Consider the following 10,580-nt stretch of genomic DNA (forward strand, 5'->3'; position numbering starts at 1 on the left):
AAAAATTTACCCCTAAATATTTCCAGAAGCATCTTCTAAGAAAGGAGACATTTTGTTATATGACCACAATGCTGTTATTACCAATTAAATAGAATTACCTAATATGATCTAGTGTCTACCCATATTTAAGTGTCCCCAGTTGTCCTCAATTTCGAAACATCTGGGATTTTTTAAGTATTCGTTTTTTGGGGCTAAGATCTAATAGCATTTGCCCATTGTATTTGGTTGTTATGTCTCTTTAGACAGTTTTAATCCAGAAAGGTTTCCAATCCTTTTGTTCTCTCATAACATTGACTTTTTGAGGAATTCAGGTCAGTTTTCTTGTAGAATGCTACATATTCGAGAACTATCTATCTTCTTTAGGTATTATATAATTTGTTTCTCTATTTCCTGAATTTAACTATGTATCTCTAAATAAAGCAAAAATCAACTTCATTTTTATCACATTAAATAGAAGAAAATAAATGGTATAATAAACATTTCGAATGAAAATAATGTGACTAAAAGAGTTTCTGTATATTTAAGTACATATTCATGTATGAGACGACAAGAAGATATTCTCAGGAGTGTAATATTCAAAAATAATATGAACATTGAATTCAGAAGTCATGGCATAAAAGGACTGCTGTAAAACTTTTCAACAAGTACTGACTTTTAAAATCTTATAAATATGTTTGCAAAGTAATGCAAAAATGAAGTAATTTATGACAGAACACCTCTGCAGCTTAGAAAGACAAAATGGTGTGGAGAGATTCACATCATAAACATTTTTCCAGGAATCAATGCAGGAACTTAACAGGAAAACTGAAAGATACCACACACTTTTATGAAAGAGGTGGTGGGCTGCAGCCTACACCATGAGCCAAGCTGAAAAAACATGTGGAAAAAGAAAGGAAAGTGAAGCAGTGACCTAGGCAATAGAAATTTTTTGGCCTGACCTATTTCATTAGATGATTATATTGACGTTAATAAAATGTTTTATGATAATAGTCATTTTATCTTAAATATTCTCCGTTACCGACACGCACAAACCATAAACACACATTATGGATCTGCAGTGATTACAACTTGCTGGTGAAGAATCTACATGTTTATAATATCTGTCTTAGTTATACTTATATTGCATGCCATTATTTTGTAGAATTATTGCTACCACTATCATATAGTCTTCTTTTGGCCAAGTATGTTAATAATATGTTAATAATTGAAATAACAAATAATGTTTTTAATTTGTGTAGACTAATTTTACAAGACTTGAATCCATATCTATGCTACTATGATTATATGAAAATTAGATATATCTGCTATAATTTTTTCATAAAACTTAACTAAAGAACGTTAGCTAGGCAAGTGATATTATATACATATCACAAGGACATGTGAAAACCCATGATAAATTCATTAAAAAGCAAAAAGAAAATTATATATGTTTCATTATAATTTTAATAAAATAAGTGTTACTATAAGCTATATTAAAATCATATTTTTTGGGAACTTGCCATGAATTCTTTTATAAATGAAGTTCCATTGGAAGATGGTGTGTCATTATGTAGCCTATATTGATCACCTTTATAACTAAAGTTTTGGAGAAATTGTCTTTGTGTATAATTTTTTATTGTGGTAAAAATTGCACAACGTGAAATCTAATCCCTTAACAAATTTTTAAGTATACAGTACAGTGTTGTTAACGATATCCAGATTTCTGTACAGAAGATTTCTTGAATTTTTCATTTTGCTTGAAGGAAACTCTATATTCATTGAATGGCAACATCCCATTTCTTCATCTCCCCACTGTCTAGCAAACATCATTTTATTTCCTCTGCTTCCATGAGTTTGATTATTTTGGTGATACGTATAAATAGAGTTGTGGAGTATTTGTCTTTCTGTGACTAGTTGATTTCACTTAGCATAATGTTCTGAAGGTTCATCTATGTTGTAGCATGTGACAGGATTTCCTTCTTTTTTAAGGATGAATTATATTTTGTTGTATGTGTATGTAACATTTTCTCTATCAGTTCGTTCATCAATGGACAGGTAAGTTGTTTCCACTTCTTGGTTATTCTTAATCATGATGTAATAAACACAGAAGTACAAATATATGATATCCTGACTTCAATTCCTTTGAATAAATATCCAGAAATAAAATTGCTGGCTCATATGGTAGTTTTATTTTTAATTATTTTAGGAACTTCTATACTGTATTTCATTGTGGCTGCACCATTTTACATTCCCATCAACATATACAAGGTTTCCAATATCTCCACTATTTATTTATTTAATTTATATAATGGCCATCCTAACAGGTGTTAGGTGATATTTAATTGGGCTTTTTATTTGCATTTTCCTGATGATTTGTAAATTGGAAAAATATGATGCTGACATGACATGTGCTTTTGGCTAAGGATATGAAAATGGAACAGAGAAGAGGGGTGCATACAAACAGTGACCAAACCATTTTTTCCTGTGAAAATTGTAATGGTAAAATGTGTGTCTTATTCAGTATACAATGTTTGATTTAAACTGCAATTATGTTGCTTTCTGACTTAGAATATGATAACCTTTTTAGATTTGTACAAATTTTTAATCTCAATCAACAGAAAATATTATTATGCCTGTCCTAAAATATATATAAACACATATGTAGATACACGATGGTCATCAAAGTCACATGCAATTATTGCATTTATGCACAAACTAAAGACATTTGCCAAGTATTAAAAGGTAATATCAAATGACACAGTACATTATGCTAAATTCTAAAACACCTTAACATAAATTGACCACATATCTTTATGCAATTTAAATTGATGAGATAATATTTTTAATCAAGTCCAATTTTATTATTTTGCTTGTGGATAACCAGTTTTTCCAATACCATTTGTTGAAGAGACTAATCTTTTCCCCATTGTATAGTGTTGGCAACCATGTTGAAGGTTATTTAACCATATGTGTGTGGGCCTATTTATAGGCTGTCTATTGTATTGGTTTATACATCCAGTCTTATGTTAGTGTCATACTATTTTGATCACCATAGTGTTGTAATGTGTTTTGAAGTCAGGAAGTGCGAGATCTCCAGTTTTGTTCTTATTTATCAAGATTGCCTTGCTAGTCAAGATTCTGTGTGCTTTCATAAAAATTTTGGATTTTTTTTGTATTTCTGTAAAACATACCATTGAGATTTTAATAGAGATTGCATTGAATCTGTAAATCACTTTGGGTAGTATGGGCATTTCAACAGTATTTTCACTTCATGTACATGGGATATCTTTCCATTTATTTAGGTCTTCTTTATTTCAGCAATATTTGCTAATTTTTAGTATACCAGTCTTTTGCTGTTTTGATTAACTGTATTCCTAAGAATTTTATTCTTTTTGATGCTATCGTAAATGGGATTGCTTTTTAAATATTCTTTTCAAATTGTTTGTTCTTAGCACGCAGAAATGCAATTCATTTTTATATTGACTGTCCTGTAATTTTGTTGAATTCCTTTATTCTAATAGATTTTTTGTGTGAAATCTTTAGGGTTGTTTACATATAAGACCATGTGAGGCCAGGCGTCGTGGCTGACGCCTGTAATCCCAACACTTTGGGAAGCAGAGGCGGGTGGATCACGAGGTCAGGAGATCGAGATTATCCTAGCTAACACGGTGAAACCCCGTCTCTACTAAAAATACAAAAATTAGCCAGGCGTGGTGGTGTGTGCCTGTAGTCCCAGCTACTCAGGAGGCTGAGGCAAGAGAATCACTTGAACCCAGGAGGCGGAAGTTGCAGTGAGCGAGATAGCACCACTGCACTGCAGCCTGAGTGACAGAGTGAGACTCCATCTCAAACAAACAAACAAACAAAAACCATGTGAGTTATGAACAGACGTAGTTTCCTTCCAATTTTGATGCCTTTTATTTATTTTTCCTGACTAATTGTTCTGGCTAAGACTTCCAGTACTACACCGAATAGCATTGGTAAGAGTGAAGATTCTTGTATTGTTTCTGATTTTAGAGAAAAAGCTTTCAATTCTTTACTGTTGTATATGACATTAGCCATGATCATTTCATATATGGCCTTTATTATGATGAGGTAATTTTTCTATTTCTAAATTGTTGAGTGTGTTTGTCAAAAAAGGGTGCTGAACTTTGTCATTCTATTTTACATGTGGTGTAATTTTTATGTAAATTTTATCTTTCATTCTGTTAATAGGGTTATTACATTGATTTATTTTCGAAAGTTGAACCATCCTTGTATCCCAAAAATAAGCCCTACTTGGTCTTGCTGTATGGTCCCTTTAACATGCTGTTAAATTTGGTTTGCTATTATTTTTTTGAAGATTTTTGCATATATATTAATCAGGGGTCTTGGTTTCTAGTTTTTTTTTTTTTCTCTCAGTGTCTTTCTGTGACTTTGCTATGAGCATAATACTAGCCTCAGAAAATGAGTTTGGAAGTGTTCTTTTAAATTATTTTGGAAGAGTTTGAGAATAAATAACTTTATTTTTTATGCTTTGGTAGATTGCTCAAGTGAAGCCAGTTATCTAGTCCTTGGCTTTTCTTTGTTAGAAGATTTGCTTCTCTTGTAGCTTTTCTTTTTCTCTTTTGCTAGCTTCCTTTGTGTTTTATTGATATTTTTTAGTGATATGATTTTATTATTATCTTTTTGATTCTGGGAGTTAGAGATTTTCTCCTGCTGGTTTCATGCTGAGCCAGGTGAGGGACTGTAGGGAGTGGTCAAGTGCTAATCTAAATTGGCACCTTCGTCCTCATAGGTCCCCAAATTGAAGCCTTTTCTTGTCAGTGCTTATATTCTGGCAAGACAGAAGGCAGTCTCCCAGGCAGTCTTACCACCCCAAAGAAAAGGCAGAATATTTGATATATGGTTCAGTCTTCTCTTTTCTCCCCAGGAAGAAGCTAAGACCTGGGAGATTTCTCTCTATTGTACCATCACAGTGTACCGGGGAGGGACTATGGTTGGTGAATGCCACAGATTTTTTTTTTTACCAGCTTCTATGTGGCTGGTTTCAAAATCATCTAGGGTACAAAAGCCTCTTTCTTAACAGGTTTTTGGGTTTCTCACAAAGGTAATTGTTTCATATATTTTCTTTGAGTCAGTATCTACATGAGTTAGAGGGTCTGGAGCTTCCTATTTTACCACCTTGCTGACATCACCTAGTCTTTCTGTACATTTTATTTTAATGGAGTTTATAGATTAAAATTGACTTCTAAAAAGTAATGTATACCACATATGAAATAACTTACCACCTAAAATACCCTTTACAAAGAAAAATAATAATTTAATTAGTTATCAGCAAAGTAAGCACTCCTGTTACTTAGTTGGAAATGACTTTACATTTGGCTCTATCTTGCACTATTCATGTAGTCATCCAGTGGGTTCTCCTTGCCTGCTGCCTAGAAAAAGTCGATTTATCAAGATGGGAATTGCAATAGAGAAAGAGTTTAATTCGTGCAGAACTGGCTATACTGGAGACCAAAATTTTATTATTACTGATATCAGTCTCCCGAAAAACTCAGGATGGGGTTTATAAGGATAATTTGGTGGGTAGTGGGTTGGAAAGTAGGGAGTGCTGATTGGCCGGGTCAGAGATGAGATTATAGGTAGTCCAAGCAATACTCTTGTGTTGAGTCAGTTCCTGGGTGGGGGACACAAGACCAGATGAGCCAGTTTATTGATCTGGGTGGTTCCAGCTAATCCATGGAGTGCAAGGTCTTCAAAATATCTCAAATACTGATATTAGGGTTTACAATAGTGATATTATCCCCAGGAGCAATTTGGGAAGGTTCAGAATCATAATTTCTAATCTTGTAGCTAATTCGTTAGGCCTGTAAAGGCAGTCCAGTCTCAAGACAGGAAAGTGATTTGTTTTGAGAAAGGGCTGTTATCATTTTTGTTTCAAAGTTAAACTATAAATTAAGTTCCTCCCAAAGTTAGTTCAGCCTACACCCACTAATAAACACAGACAGTTTGGAAGGTAGGAGCAAATAAGATGGAGTTGATTGGGTAAGATGTCTTTTGCTGTAATGATTTTCTCAGTTATAATTTTTGCAAAGGTGGTTTCATTCAAAATTGCTCCTTGAATCTTGGATTAAATGTCATATCATGGGTATATTTGTTGCATTTTCAAAAGCGGATTGTTTCCTCTTTCTCTGTAATTGTGTTTCAGTTGTGGTTGATTCACAATTTTAGTATATCTATGTAGAAAGCAGGTATATATGTGCATAAGCACAAAACTTCCATCACATCCCTGGACTATGCATTATAAGTTGTTTTTTGAGTTGGCTAAATGAGAATATTTTTGCAAGAGATCAGTTTCTAGATTAAACCTATTTTATTAACAGTTAAAAAGGTGACCGTCATTTTGAAAATAATATAAACATTTTGTAGGTTAAATATTTGTTCACAGTATATGACTGTTTTTAGTTTTAACTTAATAAGAAGACTTGGATACACTGATAGCTATAAAAATCCAGTCCTAAACTACTTGCCATAAAAATGCTATGAGCTTTAGAGTTCGGAGTTCTAGCATATTGAATAGTAAAACATTAAAGAAGATCACTTGTTCATTAAAATATGATATAATACTCTTCATCTTCTAAAGCAGAATGTGTTTTTGTTTGTGTGCTTACTTACTAGAAAAAACAGATAAAAGAAGACTGTCACATTGCATGTAATGCCTTACTTTTAGGTTGAAAATAAGCAGAGATTTATACAATTCATTCTGTTTGCTTTTGTTGTATTTTTGAAACTTCAAGGAAAATTATTATTTTTTCCTTTTCTAGCAAATAAATCCATTTCCACTGACAAATTGTAACTTTGGAGAAATGGAATATTTTCTTCCATTTTTGAAATAAAACTTTAGTAATAATTTTGATATTCTACTTTACCTTTAATTCATAATTCATTAATTTTAAGAAAATTTGATTAAAATAACTTTAAAATTAAATTAATACAGGCTTGTTTTCTTGGATTTTATTTAATCAAGGCTTTTAGTTTACTGTTACTATTTTTCAGTAGTGTTTTCTTATTTTTATGACTGTTAATGACTTATTTACTTCTTTCATTCTTTCAATGTTATTCCCTGTCGAGGCCATAAATTTCTACCTATCTCTGGAAATAGCACATCCTGTCTATCCTTCAGTCCCTAGACCAGATTTCTTTTTCCACTCAGCCTTCTGTATTGGTAGGATTTCAATTAGTCGCAACAAATAATATATCTGACAAATGCTGGTTTAAACAAATACAAGAAATGCAGAGTGATTCAATCCAGGCAGGTTTATGGCTTATTGAAATAATCAAGGATGAAGATCTTTTCTACACTTCTACTCCGCCATCCTTACATGCATGCTTCATTATGATCGTTGCAAGATGGCTGCTTCATCTCCAGCTTATTTCTGCTTTCCAGGCAGGTGGGAGGCAGAAGGATAACGAAAAATGAGCCAAAAAATTTAGTTTTTTAAGGCATTCCTGGGTCCATATTAATGATTTCTTCTTAGCTTTTATTAGTCAAGCTGGATGTTGTATATGATCTTACCTGCAAGTGAGTTTTGTAAGGTAAATGTTTAGCTTTCTATACTATATAGTAAAAGAAATGAAAAAGAGGAGGTTCTGAAAGTGTTTAGGTTAGCCAATTCAAATCACCACATCTTATACGTTCTTCCTGCTTGTCACATAGAAGTGGCTTTCTCTCTTTTGATTCCTACATTTGTATTATGGCAACTGTTGTAATAAAATTGAGTGCCATTTACTGCGTTCTTACCAAATGATAACACAGTGCTTGGGTTATTTTTAATTCACTTAATCCTAACAGGAACCATATAAATATACAGGCTTATAATTCCTGATGCACTAATGAGAACACTAAGGGCCAGAGTGATTTAAAAGTCTTTTCCAAACACTCCTAACCAGTGAATAATAGAGCTAGAATAGTTGAGCATGTTCATCTAACTCTAAACTCCATGATTTTGATAACTATAATATATTATCTCCTACTCTAGCTGGATTTTATTTACATTGTATATCTGTGCCTATCTTGACTACTATCTCTTAAAAGGTAAAACTTTGATTCATTTATTAATAGCACCATTTCAGAGTATAACCTAGTCCCAGGTAGACAATATGTATTTAGAGAATGTAAATAGTATTTTTATCAGAAAGTGCCTTTTCCAGTTATTCTGTTTGTATATTAGTGCATAGAAAAATACCCCAAAACTCAAATGTATTTTAAAACAATATTCAGTTTGTTATAGCTCACATTTTTGTGGGTAAGAAGTGTCAAAAATAATGCTGGATACTAGTTAATGTGGTAAGAACAGATTTTAATCAGTAATAACTGTTTCAATAAGGGGTATATTATAATGTGAACTTAACTCAAAATTCATTTGTGCAGAGGTGACTGGGCACTATAAAGGGACAATGAGGGAATAAGGAGGGGAACAATGGTTGAAAAAAGTCCAGAAAATGGATATTTACAGAAAATCATGACAAAGGGATTGGTTAATGTAAAACCCATTTTGGTTTGCTAACTGGCATTTATCACAGTTAGGCGCTTACCCTTCCATAGAGAGTGGGAGACAGGGAACCTGTCTTTAGATGTTGGTAGGGCCAAATAGCAAATTATTTGGCAACTCTGAGCTATTAGAAGCTATGTTAGAAGCGTTTGTTCAGCTCTCTTAGTGTGTGGGCAAAATCACCGGTACTGAAAATGTGTGTTTTTTTATAGGCCAAGGTTGAGTAAGGCCTTGTTGAAGAGAGACCTTAGAGGATTCTGACTAGAGTTTGGTCTAGAAAAGTGTCTTTGTCAGGAATTAAAGCAAAAATAAGTTGGATAATTCTTCTGTTGAATATGATGTCTACTGAGTTCATTTAGTGGTATTCAACTGACAGACGGACTGGTATAGAATGTCCAGTATAGCTTCACCCACATGCCTAATATTTTGGCAGAGATGGTTGAAAGGCAACACTCAGCTGCAACTGTTGACCATTGTGCCTATATGTGACAGGCACAATGTGGAGGTATTGGATAGCCATATATTTTACTTGATGGCTCAGGTCTCCCAGAGAGAATGATACCAGATACAGAAAATGAAACCTGACAGTATCTTAAGACTTGAACCTAGTTACTGGCCCAGAATCACTTCCACCATGTATTATTGTCAGATCAGTTTTAGAACTCACCCACATTCAAATAAAAGGGACATAGACCCCACCTCCTTGTGGGAAGAGTATGGCCACTTTTAATTTGTTGCACTAGTATTGGAAACTTTCAAATATATTTCATGGGGTGAAAGCAGCAAAGTAGTATATTTTGTCTTGTTATTGTGTATATCTTTTTGAAAAGGCCTTTCTGTCTACTTCATTGAGTTCTAAAAGTTCATACTTTATAAATGCTGTGAATAAAGTTTTAAATTCCTTAAAAGATTCAATGGCTAAAATATATGTTACACACTCAGGATTAAATTATTTAAACTTTCTATTTGACCGTTGGTCATGTTTGAAATAAGATAAAATTATCAGTGATTTCTAAATGACCTCATATTGCATGTGAATGTATCAATAATGTGTAAACATCAAACTTTATAATTATTATAATATATTATAATTTATTATATTTATTTATAATTATAATTTATAATGTATTAGGGTAAGATACATTATATTTAGAAGGAAATACATGTTTCTCTAAAAAAAATTTTCTTAGTTCCCACTGACTGCATAAATGAAATTGTGATGTTTGATTACAAACCCAAATACCACTTAGCAATCAAACTTAGTTTTCTATTCAGGGAGTGCAACATATTCAGCTTGTCCCCTTGAAAATCATAATTCTACCAGGTTTACAAAGTTAATAAAGAGTGAGCATCTTGATTTGTTGGCAAATTAGTAGTGAGAGCCCATTTTATGAAAAAGTTATCTTTAATCAACATGGATAAATTAGAAATAACCTTAAATAGTTTCAACATCAAATTTGCTCAAGTGGTAAAAAGAGTTACTGGATTTTTAAACATTAGAATATGTATTCTCATTACTTATATGGCAGCACTTAAGCAGTAATCTCCAAGATATTTTTAAAAGTTTCGTTACCATTTTTTAAGGAGAATTCACAGAAAGAAACAAACCAAGATTGAATAGAATGTTACTTAGTAAATATGTTGTCTAAGTAAAAACTACATGCTATTATCCCTTAATGGAAGACACTGGGTTAAAACCTGAAAATAAATATTATCAATGCTGGGCCAGGTACAAGTGCATAGAAATTAATAAAATCACAATTAAACTTTCCTGATCCTTTAAGTAACACTCATATTTAGCAAAAAAGATTATTATCAACAAAGAAGATTAAACAAATTTTATGCTTTTGTTGGAACTAACTCTTCACAGATAAGACATTTTTGTGCTTATTATAAATTTACATTTGATTGTGTAATTGAATGTTCTTGAAAGAGTACTTATGGTTTTTACTCATTTCAACTTGCACCAGTGCCAATAAAAATTTTAGAAAAAAAGCCTCACTCAAGATCTATAAGCTTTAATTGATCATATACTTCAATGTTAGGCACATTTTTCATTGGTCTAGA

The sequence above is a fragment of the Homo sapiens genome, chromosome X, assembly GCF_000001405.40.
Source record: "Homo sapiens chromosome X, GRCh38.p14 Primary Assembly".
Lineage (NCBI taxonomy): Eukaryota > Metazoa > Chordata > Mammalia > Primates > Hominidae > Homo > Homo sapiens.